Here is a 21,888-nt window from a genome sequence, read left to right as displayed (position 1 = left end):
TTTGCTGAGAGTTTTGACATGGATAAATGATGAGTTTTGTCAATATTTTTCTGCTTCTAATGAAAGAATCATATGGTTTTTATCGTTTTTTGAAAATATGAAGAATTATATTGATTTTAGAATGTTATACCATCTTACATTTCTTGGGTAACTCCTCCTTGTAATTGTTCTTTACATATATATTGATGTATTTGATTTGCTAATATTTTAGTTGAGGAAATTAAGGCTATCTTTATTACAGATATGATGCATAGGCCAGGTGCGGTGGCTCATGCCTGTAATCCCAGCACTTTGGGAGGCCAAGGCAGGCAGATCACCTGAAGTCAGGAGTTCAAGACCAGCCTGGCCAACATGGTGAAATGCTGTCTGTACTAAAAATACAAAAATTAGCTGGGCTTGGTGGCACATGCCTGTCATCCCAGTTACTTGGGAGGCTGAGGCAGGAGAGTTGCTTGAACCTGGGAGGCAGAGGTTGCAGTGAGCCAAGATCACCCCATTGCACTCCAGCCTGGGTGACAGAGCAAGACTCTATCTCAAAAAAAAAAAAAAAAAAAAAAAGAGATATGATGCATAATTCAAAAAAAAGTCTTTTGTCAGTTTATGGATTAAGATTATGCTGTTATCATAAAATGAATTGAGATTGTTCCCTGCTCTTTTCTGAGATAATGTGTTTAAGAATTTCTTAAATATTTGTTAGAATATTTCTTCCTTAAATATTTGTTAGAATTCATCAGTGAAACCATGTGGGCCTGGAATAGTCTCTGAAGAAAGAGTTCAGTAATTATTTTAGTTTTCCTTAATAGATATAGGACACTTCAGATTTTTGTCTTGTGTCAGTTTTTGTACATTTTGATGTTCAAAAAAAGTGTTCATTCCATCAGAATTGATCAATTTGTTGGCATGAAATTGTTAATAATATTCCCTCATTATTCTATCCCATTATCTATCCTAAGATAGAATGTCTATTCTCTCTTAGTAATAACTACTCTTTTGTTCTCAATAGTGACATTCATTATTTGTTTTTTCTTAAGTTAGTATATCTAGGGTTTATAAATCTTTTTGAACTTTTCAAAGAAACTTTTGGCTGTGTTTTTCTATCATTTTTCTCTTTCATTGATTTCTGCTCTTAACTTTATTATTTTCTTCCTTCTGTATACTCTTCTTGTGCTTTTCTCTTTTTATAATTTCTCAAGAAGGATCTTCAGTCATTGATTTTAGACCCTTTTTTATTGTAATAGAATTATTTAAAGCCATATATTTCTCTGTAAGTACTATTTTAGTTGCAGTCTACAAATTTTGATATGTTGCTTTTTTCGTTGTTGTTATTCAATTTGAAGTATATTCCAATTCTTATTATCAGTTCCTTTTTGTCCTCTAGCTTATTTAGCATTGTGTTAATTTTCATATTTTAGGAAGTTTTCTAGACACATTATTGTTTTCTAATTAATTTTCCTCTGTGGTCAGAGAACATCCTCTGTATAATTTCAATCCTCTTGAAATTTACTAGACTTATTTTATACTCCAGAATATAGTTCCTTTATGAACATACCATGTGTACTTGAAACAAATGTGTATTCAGCTGATTCTGGATGTACTGTTCTGTAAATGGCAATTAGAATAAGATGATCAATAATGTTGTTCAACTCTCTTATGTGTTTGCTAAGTGTCTGTTTGGTTGTTCTATTACTTGCTGAGAGTGGGCTTTGAAGTCTCCAACTATGTTCATGGAGTTATTTCTCCTTTTAATTTTGTCAATCTTTGTTTCATGTATTTTGTTGCCTTGTTATTAGACACATACACATTTATAATTGTTGTATCTTCCTGATGGATTGACACTTTTATCAGATCAAACTTCCTTATTTATCTCTGATAACACTTTTTGTCTTAAAGTCTACTTTACTTGATATTAAATAGCCACTTCAGTCTTTCTGTTTCCATTTAATTTCAACCTATCTACATCTTCGTATCTAAAATTCATCTCATATGGTCATAAAATAGTTGAGCCTTGCTTTGTTTTTAATTAATTCTAAAAATTTCTGCCTTTTAACTGGAGTTAAAAGGATTGAAGTGTATGGGTACACTATCCATACAACTGGACTGTATGGATTTTTAATATATTTCATGTAATTATTGACAGGGTTAGATTAGGTCTGCCTTTTTATTATTTGTTTTCTGTATATCAATCTCTATATATTTTTCTTTCCTTTGTTTCTTCTTTTTTTTAGCTTATTTGAATAATTTTTAGAGTTACATTTTAATTTACCTATTGCTTTTTAGCTATATCTCCTTGCGTTAAATTTTAGTGGTTGCTGTAAGAATTAAAACATATATCCTTAACTTTTCATAGCATAGTTAAAATAAATATTATGCCAATTCACATTAATGTAACAATTTTCATAGCAATGGAGGATATTTCACTTATTGTCACCTTAGTCTTTTATGCTATAATTTTCATGTGTATTACATATATCTATGTATCTATACTAAATCCTATATATCTATCTATACTAAATCCCATAAAACCATGTTTTAATTTTTGCTTTAAATAGTCATATGTATTTTAAGAAAACTAGAGGAAACACTGGTTTTTAAAATGTATCCACACATTTACCTATATAGCCAATCAGTTGCTGAGTCCTTTTGAGTCTTTCTTTTTAAATGTGTACTGTGACTTTATTTTTCTTTTTATTCCTATTGTCTTATTTGTCCCTATAATAACCTCATGACTAGACCATGCTTCTTAACTAATCACTTTTCCTTCAGACTTTGTTTTTTTTGTTTTTTTGAGACAGAATCTCTGTCATTCAGGCTGGAGTGTAGTGGCATGATCAAGGCTGACTGCAGCCTAAACGTCCGGTGCTCAAGTGATTCTGCCACTTTAGCCTGCTGAGTAGCTGGAACTACAGGCACACAGCACCATGCTCAGCTAATTTTTATATTTTCTGTAGAGACAGGGTTTTGCCATGTTGCCCAGGCTGGTCTTGAACTCCTACGCTCAAGTGATCCACCCATCTTGGTCTCCCAAAGTGCTGTGATTACAGGTGTGAGCCACCATACCCAGCCCACCTTCTTCAGACTTTCTATTGTCAAATCCTCTTTCCCAAACATTGTCAAGGGGAAGGGGGATAAAAGGAAATGCGGTGAAGAGTCCCTGAGTCCCTGAAAGTCAACACGTGTAAGTTACCTCAATAAATTGCCAGAAAATAGAGCCTATCTTAGACAGTTTTATATTCTATGCATTGTCTTGTGCTAGGCCTTTCACAAAGAAGGCACTCGATGAATATTTATTAGATTGTTGAATGAACAAAAAGGCTCTTTTATTCTTACCCATAATGAGGGAGAACCTGTGTTGCTGAGACAAAGTTATCACTCTGCAAACCAATAATGACAACTAACAAGAGATGCAGTTAATGATGCATTATTGCTTGTCAGTGAAAACACATAAGTAACAAACAAACAAATCTCTTTTATTTTGTGCATAAAAAAAGAATGATTATAGCCAGTTAAGAGAATCCTATTGGAAAGGGGATGAAAAGTTATGAATCATACCATACCAGTTACAAGGCAGTTTAATTTCGGAATGAAAAGAGCTAAACAAAATCTATATTTAAGACATTAAATTTATCACCTAGTATTATTGCCATAAACATCACGTCAGCTTATGAATGTCTCCAAGTACTAGTTTTATTTTCTAAAAGATGCAGAGTGAGGTACTACCTAGTATTTCCTTTCTTTTTCGTTTTCCTTTCCTGCTTTTCATGTTCTTTTTGTGCAAGCTGGTACATTTTATGCTCTTTCAGCTGCTGAACTTGTAAATTGACAGGAGATTTCTTAAAATGACAAATAGGAAGGGGTCTCAGATTAATTCAACAGCTGGATTTCTACAATAACTCTAGCCTGCCAGGAAAAATGAGCTATGTGACACTAAAGAGAAAAGGAGCACAGTTTAATTAAAACTGGCTCAGGATGGAAACTTTAATGAATTGCAGTTCCAGAGAAGAACAGAACTCAGGACCCAGATTTCCTAAGGGGACTGTCAGTAATAAAGATGCAATTATCTGAACTGACTGCTCATGAGAACAAACTTGTTTTGATAATGCCACGTGCTGTTTCCCAGGGCATAATGATTTGGCAGAGAAATAACCTGGCGGAGTGCACTGAAAATAGCTGCTTTATGATTACATTGTTACTTTCTACACATCTGATAATGAGGTAATACCTGATCTGCAAAAATTAATCATGCATCTAGAGAGTTCTATGTCAAATGTCACTTGAATGAAATTTCTACTCAGTAGATACAGCCTAGTCACAAACACCTCTTGGTAGCTGAGTTCAAAATTCAATTTTGGATATAAGAAACCAAATTTGCCATTAAGTCTACATTGCTGTTCTTATTAGATCAAAAAGGAAACTTTTAATCTGCTGAAAGTGCATGGTCGCATGCTGACCCCACTGTGCCCTGAATGGATTTGAGGGGTGAGTAGAGGTTGTGTGATTCTTTGGGAACACTTGCTGGAGTCCAGTTGCATTTATACTGTTAATCAAATCCCCTATGTTAGTTTCCTACTGCTGCCCTAGCAAATTAAAACACACTTAGTAGTATAACACACAAGTTTAACGTTTTATAATTATGGAGGTCAGAAGTAAAAAATGGGTCCATGGGGCTGCCTAGGAGGTGCTAGGTAAGAATCAATTTTCTGGCCTATTCCAGTTTTTAGAGGCTACCTCTACTCCTTGGTTCAAGGCCTCTTCTTCTGTCTTCCAAGTCAGCAGGGTAGCATCTTCTTTCCTCTCTGAACTTTGCTTCCAACTCCATATCTTCTTTCCATGTCTCTGACCTACCTACTTCTCTGTTACAAGAACCCATGTGAATACCGAGATAACTCAGGATAATCTCTCCATCTCAAGATACTTAATCACATCTGCAGTGTCTTTTTAACCATGTACGTAACATATTCACAGGTTTTTGTTATTTTGGATGTGGATATCTCTGGGAGGGCTATTATTCAGCCTACCACACCTCCCAAATAGTCAAGGGCCTCTAGAGAAAGAAAAATTAGAGAGACAGAGAGACATTTATTATGATTTGGCTGACATGATTATGGAGCTGAGAAGTCTCAGATCTGCAGCCCCCAGTACAAGATCCCCAGTAAGCTGGGGACCCAGGAGAGTTGATAGTGTAGTTCCAGCCTGAGTCCAAAGGTCTGAGAACCAAGAGAGCCAGTAGTGTAAGTTTCAGTCTTAAAGCTGGCAGTATTGATACTCAAGGGTCTATTTTTCATTTCAAGTCCAAAACCAGGAAAAGACCAAGGTCTCAGCTTATGCAGTCAAGCAGGAGAGGTTCCCTCTTATTCAGCCTTTTTGTTCTACTCAGGTCTTTAACTGACTGGATGAGGCCCACCCACATTAGAGAAAGCAATCTACTTTACTCAGTCTGTAGATTCAAATGTTAATCTCATCCAGAAACACCTTCACAGACATACCCAGAATAATGTTGGACCAAATATCTGGGCATCCTATGCCCCAATCAAGTTGACACATAAAATTAACCATCACAAGGGCAAAAAGATTTGCAGTAGCAATTGGCTACCTTTAAGTACCAACTTTCAGTAATTCTTGCCACTTTCCTGATGCTGGGATAGCTATATCCAGTGTATTGTGCTCGGCTATGAGTTTCACAAAAACCCCACAGAGTGGCTTATATTAAGGAATTTGTCTGCCTCATACAAGAGGACTCCAAGCAGAGGCAGTCCATGCTTTCTCACTTTCTCTTCTTTTCCTTCTTTTTCTATCCTTAGGGGTGGCTGATGCACCTCAGGTATCCCTCCAGGATTTCAGGCAGGAAGAACAGAAGGGGAAGCACCAATAGTTTTTCACTTATATCCCATTCACCAGAACCAAGTAACAGGACTACCTAGGGCTTCTGGGGATTCAGGGATATAAGAAGGATTTCACTTTCTTGTTTCTGCAGGGCAGGAAAGCAAACATGAAAGGGTAAAGTCAGCAACTCAAGTATCTTCTACAACAACCAAGAATTCTAAGCCTTAAACTTCCCTCCTTATCACTCAGTGACTGAATAAGAACAGCTGTCTTATAGTTTAAAAAATATGTCCCTTTGCTCACCTAATTTTTCATCAGAATTCCCAATAGGCAAATAAAAATAACCACAGTGTGTTTATGCATCACCAAAATCACAAAGTTTTTAAAAATAAAATTGTTTAAACAGACCCAAGTAATAGTTATGATTGTAGTTTTCTTCTAAGCAAATTGACTTTTTAAAATTGATTTTTTTAAAAAATTAAAGCGACTGAATTAAGTTATCACTCTTTAGGACAGTCTCTGGTGTGTTGGTGTATAGGTGCACATCACATCCTCATCATAATGGCCGTAGATCCAGGGCAGCCATTGAGCCCTACATGTCCATGGCTCCTGTCTCCAGTTGACAGGTTGGGTCAAACCCTATTCTCCAACGTGTACCCACTCCTTGACCAGAGTTGACTCATCGAAGAATGGACAACTGATGAAAATAGCCATTTTTTTTGCCTAGGAATTTTAAAATTGGAACAGAAAGAGTACGTTTAGTTTCTTCCTGAATGACTGAATTCTAACACATAGAATCAGGGAGCTACTGTTCTCCATGTTTTGTATGTTGACTGGGAGCAGAGAAAGCTAGTCCTCAGAGAAAGAAAACAATGAAATTGAAGGGCAGAATGGAGCATGGACAAAACCTGGATCATTCTAGATTATTCTTGGAGCCCAGCCACATTCCTGGGCTTGGCTTGGTTACTGACCTTTAGTCATTATGAGAATACTGGGGTTAGTTCAATGTAATGCTCTGCTATTTATAATTAGATATAACTCTATAAAATGTAGGATTATTGACTGTGCATAAAAATTATGTCTGTAAAAGGACCGAGCACGGTGGCTCACACCTGTAATTCCAGCACTTTGGGAGGCCAAGGCAGGCGGATCACCTGAGGTCAGGAGTTCAAGACCAGCGTGGCCAAAATGGTGAAACCCCATCTCTACAAAAAATACAAAAATTAGCTGGGCACCATGGCAGGCACCTGTAGTCGCAGCCACTAGGGAGGCTGAGGCAGGAGAATCACTTGAACATGGGAGGCAGAGGTTGCAGTAAGCCAAGGTTGCACCACTGCACTCCAGCCTGGGTGACAGAGTGAGACCCTGTCTCAAAAAAATAATAATAATAATAAAATAAACCATAGCCACTACTTGCATTAAATATTTCTAAACTTCAATTAGTAAACAATGGTGAGTAAAAGTAAGCCTAGGATTATAAAGCCTTTTTGTTTTTGTAAAGCTGAGATCGTGCCATTGCACTCCAGCCTGGGCAACAGAGTGAGAGACTCCATCTCAAAAAAAAAAAAAAAAAAAAAAAGTCTGTAAAAGGATTACTTCTGTTATAACAGAGGAAATTACTTTGATTAACTGAAAGGCATAATTAAAACCTCTGGCCTATAATTAATCAAATTGTAGTCTTATTTCTTCATCAATTTCTAATGCATCATACAGTATAACAAAATATGATAAAGTATTTGAAATAGCAACAGTAAATTCCAGAATATATTCATAAAATCTAGAGGAGTGCCATACATCAAGAAGGAAATATGAAATATTTTACAGAAATTAAATGTGTTAATTTTACACTTTATTTAAAATCTCCGGGATAGACTAGAGAGAGCTTTTGTATGATATAGAGAGATTTATTACTATGGGAAGATTTGGTTTCAGTTTTGCTAAATTTGAAAATTAAGATATGCCATATTTATATTTCTTACAGGAAACCATCTTTTAATATTTGATGCAAAATAATTTTATCAACCTTACTTTTAGTATCTAATTTTAAGATGCTGAAATCTGACAGTTCTGATACTAATTATGTCTTATTTAAAATATAGCTATACTATAAAGCACTAAATCCCGGGTCTGTGGTGGTGAGAGATTGTACCGTGTAACATATTACACTGCTAATTCATAACGTTTCTTTGTAAAACTGCAAGCAGGGCCATTTCAAACATCTTGTTAATGAGCCTTATCCTGCCTCCCTTGGGAATGCAGATGGGGTTTGCTTCTAGCCCTTCTGGAGGCAAATAAAGAAATAGAACTGACTAGGTTATAAACCCAGATGAAATCCTCATATGAGAAGATTCTCATTTGTGCCATGTGTTCGGGCTGAGCTGGAGATGAAATATAAGGTGTCACTGCACAATCCCTAGAGGACTGTCACCAAGTGATCTTCCTTCAAATTTGCCTTCAACTTATCACAAGCTGCTTTAATTCCTTTCCAGTATGTTCACCATAATGTCATCTGCCTTCAGTTTCCTCTTGGTTTTTAAATGCATCCATGACACAGCTGACCAGCTCTTTCCTTGAAATGTGTATCTCTGCCATGAAACTTTCTTGATACCCTTTCAGAATTTTGTCTTTCTTTTTTTAATAAAATATAGCTTTTATTGAGTAAAGGAAAAAGGGAATTCAGCTGCATGATAGAAATATTCCAGTTTGATCAACTTGTAACAACAGTCTTCCTATTTACGTGAGAGGAGCCTCACTAGTCCACAGGGAGCACTTAGGAACGACTGCTTCAACGGGTTGGTTCTCACTCTCGTGCACATTATCAGCTCCTGGTCAGTCCCAAGAGGCAAGGGCAGAGGGCATGATGGTTCTCACAGAGCTACTTCATAAATAAACTCTATATGACTTTTCTGGGAGTCTCTTACATTCTTTTATTTTAAAAGACCTGAGCAGAAAATAGAACAAAGGACCATTAAGTGGTGTTGTGTGGTTGTGTGATACATGAAACGTCCCGGTCTATGGAATTGTGACGGGCAACAGAAACAGCATGATTAGGCATTATGTGAAGAGCATGACACACTGCCACCATGGCCTGTCCAATTGGTGTGGGTAAACTGTCCCTGTTTTTCTAAGCCTTCATAAGTGTGAGCCCCGAAGTAATCCCGCTGAGTCTGGATGAGGTTGGCTGGGAGCATCTCGTGTCTATATCCATCACAGAAGGAGACAGCAATGGTGAAACAGGGCATGGGAATGCTAGCTTGGACCCCAGTGCTGACCACCCACCACCAGCAGTCCTGGCAGTTTTCAACAGCCAACTTAAAGAAGTCGTCTAATAATAGGTTCTCAAGTTCTGGGCGTTGATGAAATGCATCCTTTATCTTTCCTAGAAATACACCTCTGATGATGCAGCCTCCCTCCTCCACAACAGGACAATACAACCATAATTGAGGGTCCAGCCAAATTCAGTGGTTGCCTGTCTTAGCAGTATAAAGCCTTGAGCATAAGAGATGATCTTGGAAGCATAGAGGTCATTCCGAATGTCTTCTAGGAATGATTTCTTATCACCATCAAACTAGATCTTTTGGGAACCCTTCAGCTTTTTGCTAGCTTGAATTCTTTCATCCTTCAGAGAGGATAAGCACCGAGCAAAGATAGCTTTTCCAATGAAGGTGACAGGAATGCCATCTTCCAGGGTGGAGATGGTGGTCCACTTTCTGGTGCCCTTCTGTCCTGTGCTGTCCCTGATCTTTGGCAGCAGGTATTTGCTATCAGTATCTTAGAATATTGGCTGTGATTTCAATCAAGAATGGATCGAGCTCTGTCTTATTCTAGTCCTCAAAGGCCTCCGTCATCTTGTTTTGATTTCATTCAAGAATGAGTCGAGCTCTGTCTTATTCCAATCCTTAAAATCCTGTGCCATCTTGTTTTGCTCCATGCCCAGCACATGTTTCATCAGGTGGTAAGCCCCACAGATCAGCTGCATATCCCCATACTGTATCCCATTGTACACCATCTTTACAACGTGGCCTGCTCCCTCCTCTCCCACCCAGTCAGAGAAAAGTTCCTCAGTTCTTTCTTTTGCAGTGATGCCTTAGAAGATTGCCTTGATAGGGGCCAGCTTTTGTTCCCTCTTGGCATGAGTGATAGGCCATACTGGGATCCTTTTCCTCCAGCACTAACTTTGCTCTCCACTGATAAAATTTTCTTGGCCTTGTGGTATCTACATCGTCTTGTGTCATCCCTATATTCAGAATTTCCTCCATCAATGATGACATCACCAGTGTGCAACAATGGTACTAATTTTTTCATGAAATCATCAACAGCTTGACCAGCCTTCACAAGAGGGATGATACGCCTGTGGCTTTTTCAGTTTGGAGACCATCTCCGTCAAGGACTGAACATCAACATCTTTGGTTCCCTTTGCCTTGTTGCCAAGAAATCATCAACTTTGGAGACTGTACTATTAAAAGCACAGGCCATGAAGCCATGGTCATTCATGCACAATATTAAGTTCTGGCCCATGACAGCCAGTCCAATCAGTGCAATGCCAGCTTGGGCCATGGTGGAAGCATCGGACAGAGTAGAACTGGAGTGGGCAAAGTGTGGAGGGCTCACGGCTCACAGGCAAGTGAAGGATATACCAGCTGCCAGAATTTTGTCTTTTTAGATGCCTCTTTTTCCTCCACCTTCTGCTAAATAGAAATATTTTTGAAACTTTTATCCTTAGCCATCTACAGAAGCTTAATCTGTGTACTTTGTCCCATGAAAAACACATGTACTTCTTCAGTTTCAGTGACATCTTTATGCCAATTCCCAAATCCTCCCTTGAGTAGTTTTTTTTTCTATTCTCCGACAAGCCAACTTCACACTTCCAAATGGATTGGCCCTTCGAATTTAGTAAACTGCAAACCTCACCTATCTTTTGAGACCCAAAACATTTATCTTTATGACTTTCCTATTGCTATTAATGGCAATGCTATATTCACAGTCTCATAGGTTTCAAAAGGGAAATAGCTTTTGATTTTGCCTTCTCTTTCTCTTCTCCTAGTTCTGGTTAGTCTTCTTTGTAATTTTGTCCCCATTTGTTTATTCCTTTTTATTCCAGTTTTTGCCACCATTATGTGGCCTTCATATCACTACATTTAGACTATGGCAATTGTTAGGGGGATGTCCCTATGTTCCATGACTGCTCAATGCTGCCAGCGAGACTGAAGCTGCAGTTGTACCTTGGTTGCCATGGCACTGCTCCATAACCCAGCCACTATAAGGCAGATGCACTATAAGACTTTCCAAGTCCAAGAAATGAATCCCAGGAGATTTTCCCTTGACTAAATCCCATGCTTACTTTGGCATAACACTTCAGAGGCCAGATTCAATGGGAGAAAACAATAGAGAGAACTTCTTGATGTTGCTGGCCTTCTGCGTTGCAGAGGCTTTGCTGCCTTCTTGCAACTTGACCATAAATCAGACTAAATGTTTTTCGGTGGATAGGGAGTGGTTCTAATGGGATGAAGATGCAAGTTACTTAATAGTCTTTAGCTCCACTACTTTTTGCTTTTCTGTCTACCTAAGTCTTCAAATAACACTTATCGGAGAACTTTGGTGGGTAGGTAATGATTATTTATAAGATGAACAGATTACTGTAAGATTATTTATAAGATTATTGATAAGTACTATAATATTTTTATTTATTACTTATAATAAATAATATATTATTAAATATATATGGCTGGGCGCAGTTGCTCATGCCTGTAATCCCAGCACTTTGGGAGGCTGAGGCAGGCGGATCACTTGAGGTCAGGAGTTTGAGACCAGCCTGGCCAACAAGGTGAAACCCTGTCTCTACTAAAAATACAAAAATTAGCTGGGTGTGGTGACACTCACCTGTAATTGCAGCTACTCAGGAGGCTGAGGCAGGAGAATTGTTTGAACCTGGGAGGTGGAGGTTCCAGTGAGTTGAGATCACGCCACTGCACTGTAGCCTGGGCAAAAGATTGAGACACTGTCTCAAAAAAAAAAAAAAATATATATATATATATAAAATATGATTAATAAATACTCATTATGAGATTAGTTATAAGATGAATTATAAAGAAAGTTTTGCATTCCCTTCTTCTATTCTTTGTACTATCTGTATGGGATAAGAATAACTCATCAGATGGTTCTTAACCTACCAAATAAAACAGGCATTGGCATATCTTATTAATAGAAACAATCAATTCTTGAATATGCTCTAAAGTTATCACTGTGGAACATGCCCTCCTGAAATTAAACAGAGCTAAACAATTTCTGGTATTAATTTGGTTTACACACTTAATCCTGTAGCTTTCTGTCTGATAAACCTCCTTCTGTATCTTTTGACTAATTCCATGGTTTGTTGAGGAAAAGGAAGTTAAGCCTTAATTATTGAATTAGCTTATACGTTTTTGTTTAGGAAACAAACACATTTACTAAGAACATGCTAATTATGGGTACTACCATGTGAGATGTAAATAGACGCTCCATTAATTCAGAAGCTGTACTATTTCTTTCATACAATAGTAAAATTTATTCTTTTTTCAAAATTCTATTTAAGACACTGTTTCCCCTGTTCAGATGAATCTAACTAATCATTTAAATATTCTTGAAAAGCACACTGATTAGCAAAGTAAAGCTTAGGCTTAAAATCTTAACTAGGAGAATTCCTGTTTCCATTGTAAAATAACTTTTTAAAAAATTTGTATAATGAATGAAGTACAAATGCAATTTTGTTACATGCATAGATTGTGTAGTGGTTAATTCAAAGCTTTAGGATATCCATCACCTGGATAATGTACATCATACCCACTAATTACTCATTATCCCCCCACATAAAATAACCTTCCCTATATTTGATTATTTGAAAAATCTGAATGTATCTTACAATCAATGTCAAATGAAATTTGCTGCCACCAGGGAGAAGGTAAGTTGATAAGTAGTTGTCAATGACTAAACATACACAAATTTAACAGGTGTCAGGCTATTGATCATCCAATTGTCACCTCAATTAAGAGCCTACATTAATAACATCACATTCTGGTAAAGTTTTAATGAAATGCATATCCCTGTCACTGAAAACTTTTTCTAAAATAGATTTTATGGTGCAATCTTTAAGTTATTTTGCATTAGGAAGGTTATCTGTTTTAGTTCAGGTGACATATTGAAAGGCTGCAGAAAATTTGGGAGAATAAGTGGAGAATTTTCTAAGATAGCAGAAGTTGGTATAGACAATGTAAGCATCAAAAAGGCACCCGCAGCATCAAATGTCTATTAGTTGAAAGGTCCCAGCCGGCTTATGAGACAAACTACCTCCCAGTGGTATATCATTTAATTACCAGAAGTAAAATTACAAATTTGGCTAAGTAGAGAGTTCAGATGAATCCCTGGTACTGTTTAGGATGTCTCATGGTTGTGATTAAGCCTGAATAGTGGTGTGTAATGACACTTGATGTTGCACATGACTGCCAAGGGACAGCAGTGACTTAGAACAGTCTTTACATCCTAAATGTTAAGAAGGCTTAGACCAATCTTTCTCAATGTATGTTGGTGGGCTACATTAGAATTAGCTGATATGCTTGTTTAGAATTGATTGCATCCCTGGGATCTCCTGCTCATCCTCAAGGTAAAATATGGAAGGTAGGAGCCAGGAATGTGCATTTTAACATTTGAAGGCTGTCATCCTTAAACTCCTGTGAGTAGTCCTGAAAAATAAAGTGGAATGCAAATACATATACCATTTGTGGTTTATTAAGCTAAAAAGAATACTTTTTAACATTTAATATATATTTTAAGTAGAAAAAAAGCTGTTGTGAATCCTACAATCAATGAATGGTATTTTACAATTAAAGAACTGTAATATTTTAACAATAGTGAGCTTACAAGTCATAAATAAGAAGGATACACTTAGGTTGCTCTATAAACGTTCATGAGTATACTGATATGGCTATGACCCATAAACATGCTCTAGACTAAGCCACCCTAGTCAACAATAGCATGAGGTCCAAGGTTCAGCCTATGGTTAGGAACTGGAAAAACCTAGTTCATTTGTTCAAGGATGTGCTCAAAGTCACCTAAGTTTTGCCAAATTTTTAAACATTGCTTAGGAAAAAACTTCATAGTGAGAACAGAGTAGGGTAAATGTAAATCACTCAGGCAAGTGCTTGGCAGAGTAAGTGTGGGTAAAGTGCTCTCAACCAGGACGATTTTACACCTCAGAAGACATTTTTGGTTGTCACACTGGTGTGAAGGAGAGAGGAGATACTGGTAGCCAGAAATGCTGCTAGACATCTTTCAATGCACAAAAGAAGCCCCAACAACAAAGAATTACCTTGCCCAAAATGTCAATGGCGTTGAGGTTGAAAATCTCTTTTCTTGAGAATAACCTTCCATAACCACCAGATTTTCAGGGTGATTCTGGACAAAGAAATAGAAAAGAAGACCAAGAGTACAACATCTGTTTTCTTTCAACAACAGAACAAAGCCATCAGTTAGAAGAATATAGCAGAGAAGAACCAAAGTCCTGACGATTATGCCTAAAACATTCTTTTGTTTCATAAACTGAAAGAAATTCTCAGATTGGCCACTGATATTCACAAAAGGGCAACATGTCAGTTTGGAGATTGAGATTCATTAAAGAAAATTCAGTAGGAGACAGATAAGACAATAACAACAAAAAATGATGAAATGTCAGAAAGAGAGAGGACGGAAACCCATGATAGAAATAGCAAAAATTAGAATAAGGACATAAGTAGCTGCTTTGCTTATGTAGAATAACTTGTACACTAAGGGCTCAAAATAGAAATGAAACAACAACATAAATAACAGCTACTGTCATATTCTATATTACCTAATTTAATGCTGACAATATCACTATTGGATGGATACCAGCGTGCCTGTTTTCGAAATGAGAAAACTAAGGTATTGAAACTGGACCCCTTCCTTACATCATATACAAAAATCAACTCAAGATAGATTAAAGACCTAAATGTAAAACCTAAACCTGTAAAAACTCTGAAAGATGACCTGGGAAATACCATTCTGAACATAGGCCCTGCAAAGATTTTTTGACAAAAACAACAAAAGCAATTGCAACAAAAACAAAAATTGACAAATGGGACCTAATTAAACTAAAGAGCTTCTGCACAGCAAAAGAAACTATCAACAGAATAAATAGACAACCTACAGATTGGGAGAATATATTTGCAAACTATACCTCCAACAAAGGTCTAATATCCAGAATCTATAAGGAACTTAAACAAATCAACAAACAAAAAACAACTCCATTAAAAAGTGAGCAAAAGACATGAACAGACACTTTTCTTTTGTGTTGTTGTTTAAACATTTTTTTAACTTTTATTTTAGGTTTGGGGGTACATGTACAGGTTTCTTATGTAGGTAAACTCATGTCACAGACGTTTGTTGTACATATTACTTCATCATCCAGGTACTAAGCCTAGTACTCCATAGTTTGTCTGCTAGTCTCCTTTCTCTCATTCTCCACTCTCAAATATGCCCCAATGTCTGTTGTTCCTTTCTTTGTTTACATGAATTCTCATCATTTAGCTCCCACTTGCACATGAGAACATGTGGTATTTGGTTTTCTGTTTCTGCATTAGTTTGCTAAAGCTAATGGCCTCCACCTCCATCCATGTTCCCCCAAAAGACATGATCTTGTTCTTTTTTATGGCTGCACAGTGTTTCGTGGTATATATGTACCACATTTTCTTTATCCAGTCTATCACTGATGGGCATTTAGGTTGATTCTGTGCCTTTGCTATTGTGAATAGTGCCCTACTTGAAGGTGGAGGAAAGGAGTGGGGAGAAGATTAAAAAACCTACCTATTATCCTTGGAAGCAGTGGCAATAAGGTGAGTTGAGAATCCAGTGCTCCAGCAACCAACAGCCATGATAGCAGTGTCAGTGGTGTGTATCACATAGGAGTAGGGCCCAGCTTTGTGTCCTAAGCAGATATTCCTGTCAGGGCCTTGTCCTTGTTCTCTGCTGGGTAGGCCCCCATTTCCGTTCAGTTTTTGAAGGTTGATGCTCCAGCATTTTTATCACATCAATAAAATTCTCCTATTTTTCCAATAACTTATTTTCATCTTAAATTAGCTAGGATCAGTTTCAGTGGCTTGCAAGCAAGAGGGCTGATTGCTTCAGGACTGGAAGGGGAAGATCGGATAACTCCTCTGAGTTATACATGGGGAACGGAATTTGAAATAAAATGTGAACATCTCACCTCCCCCATTTCAGGGGATTGCCGCTCTGACCATGAGATGTTGTTTTCAAGCGAGTGATCCTGGGGTGAGGAGGAGAAAGGCAATGGAGAGGGAAATGACAGATGCCTAGATAATACTTATCTGGCATTCAGTGGATTTACATTTCCTTAAAGTAAAATATTTGAACTTTGTCTTTTAAAATGTTATGTTATGCCCTTTCCCCAACCCCGCGCATTCTTCCCCAAATTCTTCTCAAGTCCTCTTTCTTTCTGTCATCCTTGTCTCAGCTCAAATGCCCCTTCTTCAGAGGTGCCCTCTCTAACCACCTGAAGTGGTCTCTCACGTTCCTATCTCTCACAAATCCCATTTTATTTTCTCAATAGCACTGACCCTCCCAGATCTATTTGATTATTGTTTATGTGTTTAAATTCCCCAGTCCTGTACCCAATCTTTTCTCCAACTGTATCCCCAATGCCTCAAACAGCCCTAGCATAAAGTGAATATATTTTGGATAAATGGGGCAGTGGATGAAGCCCCAACTTCTTAGCCTTTTATATACTCTTTACATTTTCAGAATCGCTGAAACTCCTGTGTTTTTATATTCTTGCCATGTGGAGATTAGTGGGTGGGGGATGAGGATGGACTATTTATTTAGTTGGACAATAGTCCACAATTTCTAAAGGGAGAGTTTTAAAAATTAAAGGAATATCTTATCATCTATAAATTTAATTCTCTTCTATTAATATCAAGGTACTATCAAGGAACTTTTGAAAGAAGTTGAACTGTACAGACAACCTAGTATATGACACTGGTCCCTTTCTCACAAACATATTTTAATTTGATGCAATTAAATATCTTTATGTAAGTAATATAAAAATTGTTTTCTGAGCATATACTGGGTATCATGCACTATGTCCATTGCTGGAGAAATCGTTGTGAATAAGGTAAAACAGTCTTTGCCCTTGGGGTGCTAAAAATTTTGTGAAGGATCCAGATAATGAAACTGTTCAAAACACGTGATAATTGATATGACAGATCAGTCCAGAGTGCCATGGGAAGATACAGGAGTGGTGCTTACCCCAGGCTGGAATGGAAGGTGGGTGATAGGCAGGGAAGCCTAAGCTGAGATCTTCTGGTGAGTTAGCTGTAAGCAGGAGGGATCATGCAAGGGAGTCAGCAGGTGTAAAAAGGAATCCCATGAAGAGGTCAGGCTAGAGCAGCACATGCTGACCACATCAAACACACGGAACCAAGATCAGTTCACTGATCCTGGACTCTAGGTGTCAGACACAGCCTGTTTCCTCCAGTTGAGTTCCTTCTACCATCATTCCAACCCTTGTGTGTATAAATCCTCTGAATGCACAACCTACATATCACTTCTTCCAGGAAACCATTCCTGATATTTCAGACTATTTCAGACGGAAGAAACTTCTTTCTCCTTTGAACTCCTGTTGTTTATTGGTTTACTTAGAGGCTGTCTCAGATGGCCATGCAGGTTGTGCACTGCACAAGTTACCCAAGCATGTGTGGCAGCTAGCTCTACCTACACACAGGTACTTATTAACACATCGTATCTTTCCTGCCAATCTTTAAGCAAGTCAAGGGCAATTTCCATTGGCTTTTTCTGTATTTCCTTTTGTGCCAAAAACATTTCACTGGATCAGTTACCCAACTGTCTATATCAGTATGAATTTGGAATGTGACTGATAATATTAGTTCAGTGAGAAACATGAAGAAAACCTGTATGTATTTTGGAAAACGTGTGAGAATTTGTTAAAGGTGTATCCTTAATGGTATTTAGATGTGGTGGGAGTGAGAGACTGATCCTGCCCTGCCATGAAGCTCAGTTCAGCTCCTTTCTTTTTAAATTCTGAAATTCACTTTGTGTTATCTCGTGACTATTTTATGACTTCAATGGATTCGCAAGAAAATCTGTTGAATTTACCATTGAGTAACTACCCATTGTTTTCTTCTTTTTCTTTTCTGTTCTTCTTATTTTTAACAGCATAACAGTCATTTGAACTGTACATCTGTTAACCAGAAGGCCAACCTGACTTCAACTTTTAACTGCTTTCCTAATAGCTATATTGGAAAGCTCTTACATCTTACCACCATCTGGTGCCATTGGCCTCCGAAATCTTTTAGGCAGTCTGTGCTAAAAGGTGTGCGTGTGTCGAAAGACATATTCAGGGATTTTCTTTTCTTGAAATTACCTTCAGTGACTCAGAAAAGTTTAGTTTGTATCCCCCATCCTTATTTTATTAAATTCAGTTAGATCATCAGGGTTAAAGCTGTTTTGGATGGTGTCTAAACTCCATAGAATTCTACTTTTCCCTTTCCCTCCTGGCTTTTTCACACATGTACAGTTTCAAAAACAAAACCTCTTCTAACTCCATTTATCTATCTTGGGGATTTGAGAGGCTCCAGGAAACATCCCCCTACCCTCCCACCAAATGATATCATTATAGGGCTGGGAATTCCCACTTCTAGTTAATCTTTGAGGTTGCATCACTGAAGGCAACTGTGAAAACACAAATGTAATCTAAAAGCAGCATCAAGTTAAGCCCTGAGAGCTTCAATTACTTCATTAAGGGGTACATGGCTGAGGAAACGAGAAGCAGCACAATTTATTACTGATGGAAAAAAGGCAAAGGAAGTGAGTGTTGCCAGATGGTCTCAATGAAGGCTCTGGACATAAAATAAAAATGTGTAGAAAGCTATGTACACAATATTGGAACCTTGACAATTATCACCATTACATTTTACAGTTGGCAATCAATTATATAACACTTATCAACCTAAAATGTTTTTTCTTTTTTTCCCAAGTAGGTACATTTTTAAAAATTATCAAATTTTCTTTTTTACTGACTCGGTACTAAGTCTGCTGCATTCATAGACAGATGAGCTACTCGGGATGCAATAAATCCCCTCGACTTCAGCAGTGCCCTGAAATTGAAACAATATGCAATTGATTTTACCACATTTGGAGAGGTGGTATCCGGGCTGAAAGGGAGAAAACTTATGATAAATGATAAATTATCAAGATGTGCTCTTACCTTAAGTATAGGGAGCATTTTTTCCAAGGGAACAAATATTTAACACCCAGATTTGGATTTGGGTTTTTGAGAGTTTATTCATATATGTAAGTATAGAGACACTGCTTGACTAAATTAACAAATAAATCACCCAGGTTTGGATTTGGATTTTTTGAGAGTTTATTCTCATATGTAAGTATAGAGACACTGCTTGACTAAATTTGAAGTAAGATTTTACAGTGAGAAGAGCTGCTATATTTTCTGTCTTACCAAGAGTAGTGATTCACCAGATTTCTCAGAATTAGCCCAAATCAGAACACGACAAATGAATTTTCAATAGGAGAGCACGCTGTTTATTTGAAGGCTGTATGTACACATTCAGCATTTCAGAAGTAAATGCTTTAGATTATTGAGCTGCTAAGTAGATCTGCTTTTTAGAATGACAACCTTAGTATCAATTTCTTTTCTCAAAATATTTTCAAAGGAAATTATTTATTCAACAAATCTTTTTCTTAAGTGTCTATGCACTGTAATGTGCCAGATACTAGGTTCTAGATATGATACCTAAATATGGTACCTATTTATATAGTCGGAAAGATTATGCAGAGAAACAAAGGTGATGAATTAAATGATAATTTTGACACTAAAGATGTTTGTCTTTTTGATAAAGTTACCCAATTGTCTTATATTTTATGAATATCGGAAAGATAATACTGATCTGAATTATGTGTTGATAAAAGAGAAATATTCAGCTTAACTGTGCAGTTCTGTCCCACCTGGCTGGTGAACCACATTAACATGAATGGGGAACCATGTCTTGTCTAGCTACTCTGTACAGAGACATCCTTATTGAGATGCCAGTAAGACTAACATCCAAACAGCAAATTGGTCTAGAAACGTGGGGCTGGCATAGAGAGTAAGTAAGACAGCCTTCTCCTTTAAAAATGTCCATCCCTAAGGCATGTCAGATAGTGAAAATAACATAATTTGCTTAATTAGAAAAGTGAAATTTTATTAATTTTTTTTTCCTGGGCAGAAACCTCTGATACCAAATCTCCAGATCATTATGAGGCACTTGCCCAACCTAAGTGAAATGTAAATAAAATTGTGTGTCAATGACCTGGCTATCTGTGTTGTTTATAGTCTTGAGCATCTAGGGAATAATTAAATTTACAAAGTCCCCAAAAAAGATGACATCTTACGGTGGGCATGGAGAGTGAAGAGAGATTTAAATAGAGAACTTAAAGGCCAATGTGACCTACTTCACATTTTTAGCTGGGTTTGCCCTTCAGTCATTGAGCAGTTCTCAGAAGTACTGAGTGTAGAGGAAACAAACTGTGAAATGTGGCTGGAAACACATGGTTGTGAAAGGGGAGTAGTAGCCAGAAAAATAATTTGGTATCTTAACAGAAGGCTCTGAATGGCCAGTCAAGTTATTTGGACCTCATTCATTTTTTTTCATTCAGTGAATACTTATTAAAGATTCATTATGTGTCAGGAGCTGTTTGAAGCAATGAAAACTCAGCGTTAAACAAGACAAAGGGGTGGAGAGAAAAATCAACAAGAAAATATTAGGTTTTGGTAAGAGCTATGAAGGAAAAACACTGGACAGTGATTGAGATCACAGGATTGATGGGGCTCCTACGTGGTCAGGGAAGACGTCTGTAAGTGAGTGACATTTAGGCTGAGACTCTGATGACAAGAAGCAAGCATCCATAAGGATTTCCAGGGAGAGGGAACAGGCTGTAAAGTGGGAAGTGGTTGTATGACTAAAGAATGATGATCAAGGGGGAAGGACAGTTGGAATGATGAGGTCAAGTGAGGTAGGCAGTGGATCAGTTTATGGAAGGTCTCTTAGGCCATGGTAATGAGTTTGTGTGTTTCCCTAAATGCAATGGAAGGTTTTAATCAGGGACGTGATAGGATATGATCGACAGATTTTTTTTTTAAAGTTCATTCTACTGCTGTATGTGAAAAATAGATTTGAGATGGGCAAGGCTAGAAGCAGGGAGACTAGTTTTTGGTAATTAACAAGAAGGATATTTTCATAGCTAAATGAGAGGTGCTGGTACCTTGGACAAGGAAGATAGGAAGTGGAGCAAAGAGACAGATTTTGGATATATCTTGAAGGCAGATCTGATAGGACTTGTTCATGAAGGTTACAAGGGAAAGAGAGGAATTAAGAAAGACTCCTGAATTTTTGGTTAATGAAGTGGGAGGAAGCTGGAGGAGACTGGGGTTGAGCAGATTTGATGGGAGTTCAGAGTTCTCTGGGTGATGGGGGAGCCATTTAGGTTTTGTTTGTTTGACATTAAAGTGGAAAATGACATGATGAAAGTTGCACTTTCAGGAGATGACACGTATCTGTGAGATTATGTGTGGAAGGATCATGGATGTAGTTCTAGTCTTAATTCTAACATTAGTTAACAATGTGACAGTAAAAGTTACTTTTTTTTTTCCTCACTATCATTCATGATTGTTTATTAAAGCTTAGTAAGTACCAGAAACTAGTCAAGGAGTTGTGAATAGCAAGATGAATGAGAAATTTCCTAGTGGAGGAGCTTGCACTGGGCCTGAAGTCATTAGGAAGAGCACATCTAACTCTAACACCAAGTATTATTATTTACAGTCATGTTTCTGGCACAAGACCGAAGTACTATGGAATTAACAAAATTGGAATGCTTATTTCTGCCTGGGATTATTTTGAGTGGGCTAGGGAGAGGAAGGGTTTATTCAGTCTACTTAAAGTTACCCCAGAATCCCTCTGAGTGTGTTAATATGGCTTGGCTGTGTCCCCACTC

The 21,888-nt window shown here is 37.5% G+C and overlaps 1 long non-coding RNA gene and 1 pseudogene across 4 annotated transcripts in view; one reads left to right on the top strand and one right to left on the bottom strand.

Moving 5' to 3' along the window:
• Positions 1 to 21,888, top strand: part of LOC105369844 (uncharacterized) — a 310,508-nt gene that overhangs the window by 224,345 nt on the left and 64,275 nt on the right. The gene's annotated exons all lie outside the window — the stretch shown is intronic.
• Positions 8,705 to 10,425, bottom strand: PGDP2 (phosphogluconate dehydrogenase pseudogene 2; annotated as a pseudogene).

The sequence above is a fragment of the Homo sapiens genome, chromosome 12 (assembly GCF_000001405.40).
Source record: "Homo sapiens chromosome 12, GRCh38.p14 Primary Assembly".
Classification (NCBI taxonomy): domain Eukaryota; kingdom Metazoa; phylum Chordata; class Mammalia; order Primates; family Hominidae; genus Homo; species Homo sapiens.
The sequence above is the reverse complement of the archived record's forward strand: the minus strand, read 5'-3'. Positions and strand labels throughout refer to the sequence as shown.